The sequence below is a fragment of the Homo sapiens genome, chromosome 2 (assembly GCF_000001405.40).
Source record: "Homo sapiens chromosome 2, GRCh38.p14 Primary Assembly".
Taxonomy (NCBI): domain Eukaryota; kingdom Metazoa; phylum Chordata; class Mammalia; order Primates; family Hominidae; genus Homo; species Homo sapiens.
This window is the reverse complement of record NC_000002.12, coordinates 182,701,405-182,717,615: the sequence shown is the minus strand read 5'-3', so window position 1 is coordinate 182,717,615 and position 16,211 is coordinate 182,701,405. Positions and strand designations below refer to the sequence as shown.

The following is a 16,211-nucleotide window of genomic DNA, read 5'->3' as shown; positions in this document are numbered from 1 at the left end:
TAGCGTTGCCTGTAATACCTCTTCCTTTTAGCTACTTCTTTACCTCCTAAAGCTGTCTAATTTTCATTTTCAGCAGAATTCACTTGTAGGAAATGTCCTTGGGAGGGACTAGAAGGAAACATAGGGTTTTTTACTTCTCATATAACCCTACCAGAAATGACAGTGAAATATATTGTTATAATAGACAATCTACACAGCAGTCGATCTTCTTCCCGGAGTTTCCTCAGAAGGTGCTTATACTGAATTTAAGTAGAGGCCATTTTTTAAAAATAGTAGAAAAACAATTGTAAGTTACCAGTGTAATTTTATTGCAAAGTTCATGTTTGGTGTAAGTAGAAACAAAACACAAAAAGAGAAGGGAATCGGTTATTTAGACATACTCTCTGCAGGGCAAAAACAATCATTACTTCATCATATCACATTTCAACCACTATATTTTAGTTCCAAAGAGATCGTAATGCTTTGAAAAATCTAACGCTCCTCGCACCTCATTTCTGTTTTTCATTTAATCCTAAATGTATATTTAAAAATTTTTCTCTTTACCTGTGAATGGTCTTCAGCTCATTTCTAATACTTCCTTTTCATTCCACAAAAATATACCTTTGAAAAATATAATGATGTAGAGATTAACAAGTATCCAAACAAGAAAACAACCATCAGAAAAAGAGAGGGCATAGTCTCAATCAACACTTTGGGATAAGATGTTTCTCGCCCAGGGGTTGTTCTCAGCGTGGGTGTGGCCGAACTGCCCGTGGCCCGAGCTACCGGGCAGGTGGAAGCGCCAGGTAAATGCAAGGCGCAAGCTTTCGCATTGCCATCACTGCAGAGTGGGAGAGGGGAGAGGGGTAAAGATGAAGACACGGGGGAACAGGGCTGTTAAGTGTTGCTGGTGTCTGAAGTCTCAGGTCGGACTTAGGGAGAAAGTGTAAGTAACTGAGAGGGAATCGCTGGGCAGAGGAAGGGTGGTGTGAATAACAGGGAGGAGGAAGGTGGGGAGCGAGAACACAATATCCAGGTCTTAAGAGCGCACAGGAAGGGAGGTTCAGGCGCTCAGCCATTCCGCCCCTCCCTGACCGGAGGGCCCAGGCCACCACCGGCTCCAGCAAAGCCCTAGCCCCGGGCCCATGCCCACCTTGCCATCGCGGGGTCGCTTCCTGTAGCTACTCCCCCATCCTCAAACCCTGGCGGCGGACCCCGCCTGGCCGAGCCCAAGCACCGCGTGCAGGAGAGAAGCACACGCACTCTCCGACGGCCCAGCCGCGGCGCACGGGATTGGTGAGGTGCAGCCACACCGGCGACTACCAGCGCGCGGCCGGTACCGGTAGGTTCCTCACGCGCCGGTCTCCACGGCGAGCCGGGGCGGGGCCTGGCGCGGAGCATTGTGGGAAAGGCGTGGAGGACGCTGCCTGGGGAGACCCGCTGCGGGCCCAGCGGGCGCTGCGGCGGTGGGGTGGAGAGGGCGGTGTAGGTTTAGGTTGACGTGGCGGTGTGCGCGGGATCCGGCTCCGGCTCCGGCTCCAACCCGGAGCTGAGGGAACTGCCCTGGCCAAGCAGCCCGCGCCCCCTCACCAATGCGGCCGGCGCCTGCCGCGGGCGGGGAGGGTGGATGGCGAAGCCCGCCTCTTCCTGCTTCCGTTGCCAGGGTGACGGGGAAACCCAGAGGGTGGGTTTTGGGGTTGAGTTCCCTGAGAGTCTTTTAAAGGGAAGACGGAGCTTTGGAGGATTTGTCTGGGTGATGGGTGGGTGAGACCGAAAGGCGAAATTTGGCGGAGAAAGGAGAAGTTGCCTGAAGCGACACTGATTGCAGTATCAGGCTAGCGGACTGAAGAGGCAGTAGGAAACTTGAAGGAAATTAAAACATTTACAATTTTGTGTAAGCGTGTGTATCAACAAGCATTTGAGACTTCTACAATATTTTCTGGATTCTGAGTCATACAAGCTAGAAACTGGGGAGTTATCGTTGTTCTCTCTTACCTTGATCTCCTACTGCTATGGTACAGGAACTGCATTTTGTCCCACAGCAATATAACAATTGAAGTGGTTATATTTACTACATTTTCTATATTTAAAAGAGAAAACCGAGCCTAGAGGATACCTGCTTATAACATCAACCCTAACATGAAATAAGTTGTGATTGGTAACAGTTTCGGGGAGTAAATCAAGTGTCAGCTTCTAAAAACTTGGAAAACTACACAGGATCTATGGCTAAGCTAATACTTGGTAGGAAAGAAGAGGAAGTAGAATGAACAAAGGCAAACATTAGAAGCAGCCTGATGTAATAGTAGTTAATATGTCTCAGGAACTGGTCTAAGCACACATGTAGTAACTCATTTAGTCCTCCAAATAATCTTACAAGATAGTGGCTCCTATATCTATTTCCCATTTGAGGAAACTGAGGCAAATATTTGAGAGCTAGGATTCACATCTAAGCAACCTGGCTTCAGAGACTATGATGTTAAGCATTATGACACAGTGTGTAACCATTTTGTTACACACTGTAACAAAATCTTAAAGTAAATTGAAAAACAAACAGAAAACTGGAAGATGAAGCAGGGACCAGATCACAGACAGGTTTTTATACCAAGATGAAGACATAGATTTCTATCTCTTAGGTGATGAGGAAGCTTTTAAAAAAGAGACTGAGATTGTATTTTAGATCATCCTGGCAGCTATTGGAGAGAGGATGCAAAGCATACAAAACTGGAGAAAGAACAGGAGAATGTTAGACAAATAGGGTAAATGCTTTAAGAGGTGGTGGGCCGGGTGTGGTGGCTCACGCTTGTAATCGCAGAACTTTGAGGGGCTGAGGCGGGTGGATCACTTGAGGTCAAGAGGTCGAGACCAGCCTGGCCAACGTGGTGAAATCCCATCTCTACTAAAAATACAAAAATAAGCCGGGCATGGTGGCACACCCCTATAATCCCAGCTACTCGGGAGTCAAGAGAATCGCTTGAACCCGGGAGACAGAGGTTGCAGTGAGCCAAGATCACACCACTGCACACCAGCCTGGGTACAGAGCAAGACTCTGTCTTGGGGGAAAAAAAAAAGTAAGAGATGGTGATTGGTTGGATATGGGAGATAAAGGAAAGATTTAAGTTTAACTTCTGACTTCTTATGGCTGAATACTACCCACTGAATGAAGATCTGTTTAGGGAAAAGATAAAGGGTTCTGACTTGGACATATCTAGTTCAAGGTTCCTAGATCATATCTTAGTGAATATACCCTGCATAAAACTCATGGGTAATGTCTAGATTGGAGAAAAAATAGGAGAAAAATCATCAGATCACCCAAAGAAAGTGTGCAGAATAAGTAAAGTTGTGGACCAAGGATTAAAACCTTGGGGAATTCTAACATCAAGAATGAAAGCACACACGGAAAAAGAATCTAAGCTTCATGAAGGTGGATTTTTGTTCATTTTATTTACTGTTATGGCTCCAGCTGTTCTTACTATATGGTAGGTACTACATAAATATTTTTTGAATGAATAAACATTAATTTGAGAAATAGGCTGAAGAAGAAGAACCCATACAGGATGTAAAAAAGAGATGATCAGAGATGGGCAAAAGGAACTAAACATCAAGGAAGTTAGAGTGAGTCAGATAAGATACTGACTGCAACTTGTTAATTAGGTCTGGCAATTAGGAGGTTATAGGGACCTTAGTAAGCACAATTTTGGTGGATGGTAAGGCTGGAAGTTAGATTGTAGTAGACTAAAGATTGGCTAGGAGCTGAGGAAATGGAAATAGCAAGTACATATACTCTGTTCAGAGTTTGGGTGAAAAGAGGAAGGAAACTCATGTAACTAGAAGAGGATGTGGATTCCAAAGAGGAAATGCTTTAGGCTTGGAAAGGCTTGAGCAAGTTCATAAGCTGAGTAGAAGCCAAAAAAGAAAGAGGCCACAGATATGAGAGGGATGGAGTCAAGAGCACAGATGGATTGATAATCTTACACAGTTCATTTATTTATTTATTTAGTATTTTTTGAGATGGAGTTTTGTTCTTATTGTCCAGGCTGGAGTGCAATGGTGCGATCTTGGCTCATTGCAATCTCTGCTTCCCAGGTTCAAGCAATTCTCCTGTCTCAGCCTCCCAAGTAGTGGGGATTACAGGCACATGCCACCACACCTAAATAATTTTTGTATTTTTAGTAGAGACGAGGTTTCATCATATTGGTCAGGCTGGTCTCGAACTCCTGACCTCAGGTGATCTGCCCACCTCAGCCTCCCAAAGTGCACATTTAATTTATTAATTAAAGTAGTCTACTGTTCTCTGGGCTAGGTCATTAGGGTTACTGTGGTGAGCAAGGACATAGCTCTGCCCTCAGTAAGTAGGATAATAGAGGACACATCAATTATTCAAACAAATCTGTAATTATGAAGGAAGAATACATAGTGTTGTGATGTTGTGAGCTACTCTAGGGGCAAAGATTTGCCAAAGGTTTCACCAAAAATAAAAATAAAAAGGAAGAAATTTAACATATATGGGCAAAAAATTAGGCAATATTATAGTCAGATTGAACAGCAAGTGCATAGTTCTTGTACTTCAAAAGAGCATGGGTGTTAAAGGAACAAAAAGATCACCAGAATGTAGCAAGCCAAAAGGAGAGAGTCAACAAAATGGGAATGTAAAAGCAGACAGGGACAAGATGTAGTTTATTTTAAGGAGTTTGGGCCTTTTCCTATGAGCAATGGGAAGCCACAGAAGTGTTTAAACAACGGAATGTCATTACAGTATTGAATTATTTAATTTAAAAAAACTGAGCCAGGCGCGGTGGCTCATACCTGTAATCCCAGCACTTTGGGAGGCTGAGGCAGGCGGATCACGAGGTCAGGAGATTGAGACCATCCTGGCTAACACAGTGAAACCCCATCTCTACAAAAAATACAAAAAATTAGCCAGGCGTGGTGGTGGGCTCCTGTAGTCCCAGTTACTCAGGAGGCTGAGACAGGAGAATGGCATGAACCTGAGAGGCGGAGCTTGCAGTGAGCAGAGATCAGGCCACTGCACTCCAGCTTAGGCAACAGAGCAAGACTCCGTCTCAAAAAAAAAGAAAAAAATGGAAAAGAATTTCAAAGTTACAAGAATGTTAAATGTATAGAACAAGTAATTTTGTTTCCTCAACCATTTGTGAGTAAGTTGTTAACTTCTTGTCCCGTTGTCTCCCAAAACTGGTTTATGTTTTTTAACAAACAAGGACATTCTCCTTCATAACCAAAACACAATCATCAAAATCCAGAAATTAACACTGATATCTTATTACCATCTAATCCTCAGACCCCATTTAGGTCTTGCCAATTGTCCCAATAACATATTTGCGGTACAAAGATCTACCTGGCAACTACTTGTTTCAATTTAGTGTCCTGATATTTCAGGCTCCCTCAGTTGGAAACAGTTCTTCAGTTTTTCCTTGACTTTTAAGACTTTGACACTTGTGAAGAATATAGGCCAATTATTTTGTAGATGTCTTTCTGTGTCAGTTTGTCTGATGTTTCCTCACGATTAGATTTAGGTTATGTATTTGGGAAGAATCTAACAGAACTGACCCTATGGTCTATCCATTGCAGGCTGCAAATTTTGATTCGTCTCATTGTTGGTAGTTTTAACTTAGATGGCTTCATTATAGAGATGTCTGAGAGGCTTTTCTATGGCAATGTTACATTTCTCCTTTTGTAATAAGTCCTTTATTGGAGGTGCTTTGAGACTCTATGAACATATTCTATTCCTCATCAAACTTCCAATTTATTCATTGATTTATATTATTATGCATTCATGGATTTTTTATTCTATGGGTTAAAATCCATTATTACCATTTATTTAGATGTTTAAGTAGTTCTAGATTGGACCAGTGGGAATTCTTTCAAGCTGGCTTATGTGTCGTTTTGACAATCCCACCATTCTTTGGGTATGCTTATTTTAGTGCACAATAAGATGTTCGAGGCTCATCCAGGACTTTTCCTGGCTCAGCCATTATACTAGCCATTTCTCTAAGAAGCCTTGGTTCTTTGGAAGAATGGTATTTACATGGCAAGATCTAGGTCCTAGGCATTCATCATAATCTGGGGCTGCTGTTGCTTCCAGGTCTTCTCGGTGGACAAAGGTAGAGAATATATGTATATGTATATACATATACACACATACTCACACATATACACCTCCACATTTACATATGTATAAAACTGTGAGTTTACACCAATATTTCCAATTGCAATGTAATATCACAGGTGTCAGATTTATTTTAGTTTTTTCTTTCCATAAATGTAGCTCTTCTGTCTGACAGTAAGGAAACTGGTTCTCGTTATCACTGAATGAGTATGTATACATAACCAATCTTCTATTGCTGATGCTCCCCATCATCCCCTGTGTGATTGCCCCGCTACCTTATACTGGATTGCTCACCTGAGCAGATGCTCTGTTTACTCCACTCAGGTTCCAACCTATTCCAGGCTGTTCTCTGGCAGGGACACACATCTCATTCTCAAAGGGTTCCAATACACAGTGACTCACCCTCACTGCCTTATATGAACACTCTCCTCACACTGGTTGGGTTCTGACACTGCTCAGCCTCTCTTCTCATGGCTTTGGTATTAATTATTCAAGATGGGAAAGGGCATGATTATTTTGTAATAATTGTTTTAGCTAAAGTTTGAGGAATATGTTGGAGGAGAGCAACAAAAGATAGAGGAAAACTGGCTAGGATACTACTGAAATAGCCCAGGTGAGAGATGGCAATGGCTTGGACTAGGGTAGAGTTAGCATAGATGTGGAGAAATAAACAGATTCGAGAAAAATGTGGAACTCATGTTCATTGCAGCAATATTCACAAGAGCCAAGGTATGAAGACAACTTAAGTATCCATTGACAGATGAATAGATAAAGAAAATGTGGTATATATACCATGGAATATTATTCAGCCATAAAAAAGAAGGAAACCCTGCCATTTGTGACAACATAGATAAATGTGGAAGACATTACATACACTAAGTGAAATAATCCAAATACAGAAAGGCAAACATTGTATAATCTTACTTATCTGTAGAATCTAAAGAGTAAAACTCACAGAAGCAGAGAGGAGAACAGTGCTTGCCAGGGGATGTGGTGGAGGGGAAAAGGAGAGATGGTAGTCAAAAAGAACAAACTTTAAGTTGTAAGATGAATATGTTCTGGGGATCTAATATACAGCCTAGTGACTATAGTTAATAATATATTGTCTCCTATAATTTGGTAAGAGAGCAGATTTTAAGTGTCCTCACCATGCACACATGCACACACACATAACTGAGTGGTGATAGATGTGTTAATTCATTCAACTGTGGTAATCAGTATAGAATATATATCCAATCATGTTGTATATGTTGAATATACACAGTTTTTATTTGTCAATTAAATATTTTAAAATTTAAAAAATGTAGAAGGTAATATGGGCCAGGTGCAGTGGCTCACGCCTGTAATCCCAGCACTTTGGGAGGCCAAGGTGGGCGGATCATAAGGTCAGGAGATCGAGACCATCCTGGCCAACATGGTGAAACCGTATCTCTGCTAAAAATACAAAACTTAACTGGGCGTGGTGGTGTGTGCCTGTAATCCCAGCTACTCGGGAGTCTGAGGCAGGAGAATCACTTGAACCAGGGAGTCGGAGGTTGTGGTGAGCCAAGATCATGCCACTGCACTCCAGCCTGGCAACAGAGCAAGACTCTGTCTCAAAAACAAAAACAAACAAACAAACAAAAGAGAAGGCAGTAGGTACGATTTGGTGATAAATTGGTCATGATGGGGAAGAGAAAGATGTTTGAAGACACATCTCTACTTCAGATAATTGACATCAAGGATGTCCACTTGCTTGGGAAACCAAGGCCTTGCCAGTCTCAGTGTAATAAATCAAAACTCAATACAACAGCACCATGATATATGTATGAGATATGTTATTACAAAGAAAGCATTTCATTTCATTTTTTCAGTTTCATTTGGAGAAATGCTACTCATCTTTCAAGATCTAGTTCATGCTTCTTCTGAAAATCATTTTGTAAGCTCCAGCTAAGCATATTTGATCACTCCATCCTTTACTATTGCATTTATCACAATATATTATAATTACGTTTCATTGGTTGGTCTACTATACTGAATTCGTTGAGATCAGGAATCTGGTTTTGTTTATCTTTCCTTCAATGCCTAGCTAGAACAGTGCTTGGCATGTATTCAATACATGCATTAGGATGAAATGAAGAATAAATGTTTATTATGTACAAAAAAGTAAGAGTGGACCTTTGTTCCTAAAGTTATTATGTCTGGCCCGGTGGGAGTAGGTGAAGAACAAACAATTGATATGTAAAAATATTTGTCAAATGAGTTATATGAGCAATATGGTCCCAAAAGACTTAATTTGGGGCTGAAGTGCTTAGAGGAGAATTAAAGGAAAGTATGGGTTTTTCTAAATTTTTTTTTTTTTTAAGAAAAAGAATTCCTCAAAAGATTTGGAATTTTAGAACCAGGTACAATCTTTGAGATCATGAAGTCTATTCCTTCAATTCATAGAGGAGGAAACTGAGGCTCAGGAAGACTGATGAGTGACTTGCCTAAAGATACTCAAATGTAAATAGATGACATAGGAACATAATCTGTGGTTCCTGTTTTTTTTGACCAGTATGAAATAATGATCATCAAAATAACCAAAACTTACATCTGCTTTATAATTCTCAGATACTATTTTAAGCACTTTAGTTATAATAATACATTTAATTGTCACAACAGCCCTATGAGGTAAATGCTGTTATTAAGTCAATTTTACTGATGAAGAAGCTGACACAAAGAGAGGTTTAGCCACTTGCCAATGTCACACTGTTAGTAAGCGGTAGAATTTGGATTCCAACATAGGTAGTAATATGGTTTGGCTCTGTGTCCCCACTCAAATCTCATCTCGAACTGTAGTCCCCATGTGTTGAGGGAGGGACCTGATGGGGGTGATTGGATCATGGGGGTGGTTTCCCCCATGCTGTTCTGTGATAGTGAGTTCTCAGAGATCTGATGGGCTTCTGAAGAAGGTGCTTGCTTTTCCTTCACATTCCAGCCATGCAGAACTGTGAGTCAATTAAACCTCCTTCCTTTATAAATTACCCCGTCTCAGGGAAGTTCTTTAGAGCAGTGCAAAAACTAATACAGGCAGTGTAGATCTGGAGCCCACAAAGAATACCAAAATTAGTTAACTGAAATATTTGTGACAGCACTTACTTAAGTTAGCAGAGGCATTATTTTCATATAATTTTTTCATAATAACATAATAACTTATTGTTATGGTTTGGCTGTGTCCCTACCCAAATCTCATCTTGAATCGTAGCTCCCAAAATTCCCACGTGTTGTGGGAGGGACCCGGTGGGAGATAATTGAATCATGGGGGCAGGTTGCAAAGCTAGTAGGGGCAGAACTGGAATTTGAATCTGGGGAGCCTAGTCCTAAACTGTGTATTTTTAATTAACATGTAATAATTGTACATATTTATGGGGTACAGAGTGATATTTTGGTACATATATATAATATGTAATGATCAAATCAGGGTAAATAGCATATCCATCACCTTAAACATTTATTATTTCTTTGTGTTGGGAACATTCAAAATCTTCTCTTCCAGTTATTTGAAAATATGCAATAAATTATTGCTAACTATAGTCACTCTACAGTGCCATAGGACATTAGAAGTTAGTCATCCTACCTAGCTGTAACTTTGCGTATCTTACCCAACCTCTCCTTATTCTCTCCTCCCTGCTACCCTTTCCAGCCTCTAGTAACCACAATTTAATTGCGACTTCTACCTAGACTGTACTTTTGATATGGGGGTAATGCTGGACTCATAAAATAAGTCAGGAAGTGTACTCTTCTCCTGTACTTGCAGAGAGAGATTTATTTTATTTTTCCCTTAAGTATTTGATAGAATCCATGGTGAATCCACCTGGAGTTTTCTTCCTGGGAAGGTTTTTATATGACTTAAAAATTATGTATGTAATTTCTTTGCTAGATATAGGACCATTCAGATTTTCTATTTCTTTTTGAGTGTTAGTAATTTGTGTCTTTTAAGAAATTTGTCTATTTCATCTAAGTTGTCGTATTTATTACTATAAAATTGTTCTCACAGTTCCTTTATTATCTTTTAGCATCTGGGGAATCTGTAGTAATATTCCTGTTTCATTCTTGACATTGGTTGTTTCTGCTCTTTCTCATTTTTCTTAATCAAACTATTGACTGATCCATTTTATAGATCTTTTCAAATAATCTGCTTTTGATTTAATTGATTTTTATTTTTCTCTTTTCTAGTTTGATTGTTTTCTTATCTTTATTTCCTTTTTCCTGCTTATGTTGGGTTTAATCTTCTTTTAAATTTTTTGCCTTTTAAGCTGGAAATTTAAGTTACTGATTTTGGATATTTCTTCTTTTCTGGTATAAACATTTAAAGTTCTAAATTTCTAAGTACTGTCTTAGTGGCATCCCATAATTCCTGATGCTTGTGTTTTTATTCTGATTCAGTTCACAATATTTTCTAATTTCCCTTGTAATTCTTCTTTGGCCATGGGTTATTTAAATATAATAGGGGGAATAAACTAGTATCTCCCTCAAAGAATCCTGTGGGGCACAATGAACAGTGGATTATTGTAGAAGTGAAGTGCTTTCAGAACAGTGCCTGACCATTACTGCTATGCATCAGCCATTGTTTTCACTGCCAGTTTTACTTTTGGGTTTCTTCATTCTACTTTAAAGAGAAAACAGAATTTTCTGTTACCTCTGCTGCTATAAACCCTGGAACATATTTAAGTTACTGCTTACTCTTTCATACTCCGTTGTTACTACCAGTGTGAAATCAGAATGCCCAGGCTTTCGCACATTTCTAGCATGTAATTGGTCTCTTTGACTAACCAGACACTGTGGAACCATGATTTGTTTTTTGCAACTTCTGCTTGCTTTGGAAGCCATGTGCCTTTTCAGATTTGGTAGCCAGAATATGAAAACAAAGAAAGAACATGGGTTGGGTGTTAACAACAAAACAATACAAAACAACTTGTTTCTGTGATTGTCTTTTTAAATCAGAAAAGTTTACTTTGGTCACCTTGAAATATATTACTCATTTCAACCAGTTTCAAGTTATATGATTCACTCCTTCTTGGTTAGCATGTTTTAGACCTAAAGGAATTTATTTACTAAATGCTCTTTCCAGGGGCATTTTCCTCCTCAACATTGTAAAACATCAAACAGAACTGAATGTGTCTTTGCCCAAATTAACATAATCAAAAGTAAGATGAAATAAAAATTTCAAATTTCAACTTCAGGCTAATATGCTGAGAATCCTACTCAATGTTGAATGGAGATGCTAAATAATTAGGACAAGCATTCTCTGTCCCTAAAGGAGGGAATAGAATTTCAGAGAAGGGAGTAGCCGCTAAGAGGCTCTTTGAGGCTTAAAGACACTGAACCACTGTTTCCCTGTGTCTAGATCTAGGTACAAATGCCTGACCTGCTGATGGCTTTTGGATTTGTTATACCTGATAGTCAACATCTCACATTTGACTATAGGCTTCTATTCTATTCTCCATTTAAAGGTTTTAATTTCTCTAATAGTCAGATTTAGGTTTAACAATTCCGTTGCATAACTGACCACAAAATCTTGTATGTCTCCTGTCACTAGCAGTAAATCATTTAAGGCAGTTATTCCATTTGTAAGAAATTATCATTGCATAATAATGAAATCAGTAATATTCTGCAACTAAATATAACTGTTTAACTCTACTGTCATGAACTTTTTTGTTTTTAAAGACTTAGCCCTCAGCTGGGTGCAGTGGCTCATGCCTGTAGTCCCAACACTTTGGGAGGCCAAGGCAGGTGGATCATTTGAGGTCAGGAGTTCAAGACCAGCCTTGTCAACCTGGCAAAACCTGGTCTCTATGAAAAATACAAAAATTAGCTGGGCTTGGTGGCGCATGCCTGTAACCCCAGCTAGTTGGGAAGCTGAGGCAGAAGAATCGCTTGAACCTAGGAGGCGTCAGTTGCAGTGAGCTGGGAAGATCACACAACTGCACTCCACTCCAGCCTTGGTGACAGAGCGAGATTCCGTCCCCCAAAACAAAAAAAAAAAAGACTTAGCCCTCATGAAGATTAATTTATAGCCCAAAGACCTAATCTACTCTTTGTAAAAATGTTTTCATCAATGGCTTTGGTTTTCTTAATTAGCATATTAATTAGTTAAATAAGCTAAAGGGTAGACTGCCACCAAGTCGATGGCAGCAAACATATTGTCACTATGCTTGTCTCCTTATGTGCCCTCAATAATTGTTTTTGTTCACTTTGTAAAAATGCCACTGAGCCAGCAGAAGATGTCACCCACTATTAATTAGGCTACGTGAGCTGCCATATTTATACTGGGAAAGAAAAGGGAGAAAAACTCCACATCATATAGAATTTTTGTTTAAAAAATTATCATACATGAGATTTGGCCCTTCAGGACACCTGGAGGTTTTCACATGGTACATTTTTAAAGTTAAACCTTTTGTTTGATTTTGTTTCTACTTTATCAATTTGACAGTTGCAGAAGTAAGAGAACTATAGGTTGTGGTTTGCCACATTCTCCAGGATCTATCTAAGAATCAAAAAAAATACTGTTTTTAAATACTTTAGTCAATCACTAGGACAAACGTGTATATATCTAATCCAGGAGTCCATAGAGTACGATCTAGGGACTGTTGGGGACCCCCGAATTCTTTCCAGGGCTTTGTGAGGTTAAAACTACTTTCATGATAATTCTTTTATCCACTTTCATTCTTAAATATACAATGAAGTTTTCCACAGACTATGTGATGTTGTGTGATACCACAGTAGATTGAATGTAGACACCACAGATATGAAAATCTAGTTGACCTTTATAAAGCCAAACATTAAGAGATTTGCAGAAAGGTAAAATGCTGCCATCTTACTCATTAATTTTGGGGAAAATTTTTCACAAATATACATGTTAATATGTAATGGATTATTTTTAAATAAAGTAATAAACATTTTAAATTTATGTTTTAATTTCTAATATGGTAAATATTTGTAGACACAGCACATATAAACAAAGATTACAAAGAAAATTCTTACTTTGACCTTCCTCTCCCAAGAATCGTATATTTAGATTTTTGCCTAACTTCCTAATACATTTTAACAACCTTAACTCTATTTTTAGTTCATGGATCTTATTATGCCTTTTCCCCCTAGCCACAGATTCACTGCCAGATCAATTACCTTGAATTCTGAATTTCACAGAGCCCTGAATAGCTGCAGCAACTTCGTGACTTGAGAGGCAAAACTACTGGAGAGGTATGAGTGAGGAGCTATGAGTAGGAACAGGGAGCTTTAAAAAACTTGAGTTTTTTTTTTTTGTTTTTTTTTTTTTTCCAGACGGAGTGTCTCTCTCTTGCTGAGACTGGAGTGCAGTGGCGTGATCTCGGCTGTCTGCAACCTCTGCCCCCCGGATTCGAGCAATTCTCCTGCCTCAGCCTCCTGAGTAGCTGGGACTACAGGTGCCTGCCACCACGCCCAGATAATTTTTTTTTTTTTTGTAATTTTTAGTAGAGACAGGGTTTCACCATGTTGGCCAGGCTTGTCTCGAACTCCTAACCTAAGGTAATCCTCCCGCCTCAGCCTCCCAAAGTGCTGGGATTACAGGTGTGAGCCATCACGCCCGGCCAGAACTGAGTTTTTATAAATATTTATCCTATAATTTCACATTCCTGTAACCATGGCCACAAGAATTGACCAGAGCTGGAACCTTATTTATGGATGGCCTGGAATATGCCTTACTTTCTATTAGGTACTTTATGTATTTTATTTTTAATCCTTGTGGCTTCTCTGAAATTGAAGAAGAAGAATCCATTTCATGGATGAGGAGACCTAGGTTCAGAAAAGTGAAATGATTTGTTCAGGATGACACAGCTAATTGGCAGAGTTGGGATTCCCAGCCTGGACTGATTAGATCCCAGGCTATGTGAGGAGAAGGTGCCTTTCAATTCCATTTATGACATTTTTTCTTCTTTAGATTTTTGCCTTGGGAGGGTCAGGACTATAAAACATGTTTAACATTCTCCATTTTTGTAGAGTGGAGGCATAAATTTTACCCAACCCGGGAGCTGGGTCCTGCTTAGCTCTTTTAGGATTCTTCTCCCTTTCCCTTATGCCATTCAGCAACCTGATCAGAATTGGAATTTCTAACCATTGCCTACACTCATAACTGTATACTCTACATTAGAATCAGAACTCTTTTAGCATGGAGAGTCACTGACCTGTCAACAGCTGCGAAAATTAATGAGTAAAGATAGGCCTGTTTCTTCTGGAATGTAAATTGAAATTAATCTAACAGGAACTTCAAAATAAATTGCCACTAGAGATTGAAGAGTTATTAGAAATAAAGATCAAATCACAAGTAGGATTTTTATGTAACATTAAATATATAACTTGACTACTTACCCATACCCGCTCCTGAAAGAAATTTTATCATGCTTTCATTAAGTTATCTAGACCAATTTCGTTGGTTGCGTTCCATTTTAACAATCAGCTTAAGTACATGAACAGGTTCATATCATTAACTTTCATCTGTATGTGCCATTATAACTTGAAGTCTTTAAAAGTAATGGTTATTCTTTCAGAAAGTACTTTGTGTGATTTTCCTATCTGAAAGATCACAAGAAAGACAGTGATAATTTGCACAAATCCAAACTGATATATTTTAACTGTCACCTATTTATTCATTTCACTTCTAACAAAAAAGACTTGAATTTAACCCAATCATACCAATGTGAGAGGAGGAGCAACACTAGCCACTTTTCTAATAAAGAGTTTAGATTGACTCAGAGCAAAAATTATGAAGATGATATGTGGTAAATTTATCAGAGTTCTAAATAATTAGAAAATAGCTTTTAAAAGTATTGCTCTGATTCAATATTCTTTATGTTTTCTATGCAAAATACCTTTTTTATAACTTTTATAATTATGAAAAATAAGACAATGTGTCTTTCTCCAACCCCTTATATTAATTCATTGTGCATATTTTATGAAGTGCATCACATACCAGCTTCTGTGTGCATTTCTCCTCTCCCTCACTAGAATGCCCACTCCTAAGGGTAGAGAATCTATTCATCTTTGGGTCCTTCACCAAAAGCAGCACGCTGCTTTGCATATTTTGTAGCCAATAAATAGCCATATGAATAGGCCAGGTGAGGTGGCTCACACCTGTAATCCCAGCACTTTGGGAGGCCGAGGTGGGTGGATCACTTTAGGTCAGGAGTTCGAGACCAGCTGGCAACATGGTGAAACCCTGTCTCTACCAAAAATATAAAAAATTAGCCAGGTGTGGTGGTACATGCCTGCAATCCCAGCTACTTGGGAGGCTGAGGCAAGAGAATTGCTTGAACCCAGGAGGCGGAGGTTGCAGTGAGTCAAGAGCCTGCCGCTGCACTTCAGCCTGGGCGACAGAGTGAGACTCCACTCAAAAATCAATCAATCAATAAATAAGTAATATGCATAAATTATTACTGTTTATGCATGCTAAAGTTTTTCTCACAATTTTAATCTTAATTCTGCAAATTAAATTCTGTAAATTGGTTTCTTTAAGAGAAACCTAGAATCTAGAGCCCCAAATTTAGCTGAGTCTTCCTTAAATTTTGTTTATTTATTTGTATTCTTTAAATGAGTGTTAACATTAAAGGCAGGCATTATCTAAACAATGATTAAAATTGATCTTGTTAGCATTGTCTCAGTCAGTTAGTTTTGCTGGAATAAAAGCTCTGTGCTTTTATAGTAGATCCTAGAGACTACAGCTCCTCTCTCATGTCTTTGAAGGCTACCTAGAATCACAAGAGGGTGATAGTGAATCGGTGGTTTGGGACAAATCTGGTACTTTAGTCATTTGGACACAGGTTTAAAAGTTAAGCAAGCCAGCCCGGACACAGTGGCCCACACCTGTAACTTTGGGAGGCCGAGGCGGGTGGATCACTTGAGGCTGGGAGTTCAAGACCAGCCTGACCAACATGGCGAAACCCCGTCTCTACTATAAAATACAAAAATTAGACTGGTGTGGTGGTGCGCGTCTGTAATCCCAGCTACTTGGGAGGCTAAGGCAGGAGAATCACTTGAACCCGGGAGGTGCAAGTTGCATTGAGCTGAGATGGCACCACTGCACTCCAGCCTGGGCAACACAGCAAAACTT

General features: G+C 39.5%; 2 protein-coding genes and 1 long non-coding RNA gene across 7 annotated transcripts in view, besides 4 other annotated features; 2 read left to right on the top strand and 1 right to left on the bottom strand.

Annotated features, from left to right (window-relative positions):
- The window catches only part of DNAJC10 (DnaJ heat shock protein family (Hsp40) member C10), a 78,208-nt gene extending 76,849 nt beyond the window's left edge, over positions 1-1,359 (bottom strand). For all 5 annotated transcript variants that reach the window (NR_073366.2, NR_073365.2, NR_073367.2 and 2 more), the window contains exons 1-2: positions 1,133-1,359; positions 544-600 (exon numbers count right to left, since the gene is read on the bottom strand). The gene's annotated coding sequence lies outside the window, so the exon portion shown is untranslated. The remainder of the gene's footprint in view (positions 1-543; positions 601-1,132) is intronic.
- Positions 688-1,292: an enhancer, noted in NCBI's record as "H3K27ac hESC enhancer chr2:183581051-183581655 (GRCh37/hg19 assembly coordinates)". NCBI's record gives its function as "activates a minimal SCP1, AML or CMV promoter by ChIP-STARR-seq in primed H9 embryonic stem cells {active_cell/tissue: H9 hESC(primed)}" and the evidence as "EXISTENCE:reporter gene assay evidence [ECO:0000049][PMID:30033119]".
- Positions 819-16,211, top strand: part of PDE1A (phosphodiesterase 1A) — a 576,757-nt gene continuing 561,364 nt past the window's right edge. The window contains exon 1 of the mRNA XM_047444688.1: positions 819-925. Within this exon, the coding sequence (XP_047300644.1) occupies positions 852-925 (74 nt within the window). The 5' untranslated portion in view covers positions 819-851. The remainder of the gene's footprint in view (positions 926-16,211) is intronic.
- Positions 967-1,126: a silencer, noted in NCBI's record as "silent region_12161". NCBI's record gives its function as "represses an Ori minimal core promoter by ATAC-STARR-seq in GM12878 lymphoblastoid cells {active_cell/tissue: GM12878}" and the evidence as "EXISTENCE:reporter gene assay evidence [ECO:0000049][PMID:35858748]".
- Positions 1,637-1,706: an enhancer, noted in NCBI's record as "active region_16837". NCBI's record gives its function as "activates an Ori minimal core promoter by ATAC-STARR-seq in GM12878 lymphoblastoid cells {active_cell/tissue: GM12878}" and the evidence as "EXISTENCE:reporter gene assay evidence [ECO:0000049][PMID:35858748]".
- Positions 1,727-1,876: an enhancer, noted in NCBI's record as "active region_16836". NCBI's record gives its function as "activates an Ori minimal core promoter by ATAC-STARR-seq in GM12878 lymphoblastoid cells {active_cell/tissue: GM12878}" and the evidence as "EXISTENCE:reporter gene assay evidence [ECO:0000049][PMID:35858748]".
- The window catches only part of LOC101929976 (uncharacterized), a 48,061-nt gene continuing 34,855 nt past the window's right edge, over positions 3,006-16,211 (top strand). Inside the window, exon 1 of the long non-coding RNA XR_427200.3 lies at positions 3,006-3,455. This is a non-coding gene — a long non-coding RNA (uncharacterized LOC101929976). The remainder of the gene's footprint in view (positions 3,456-16,211) is intronic.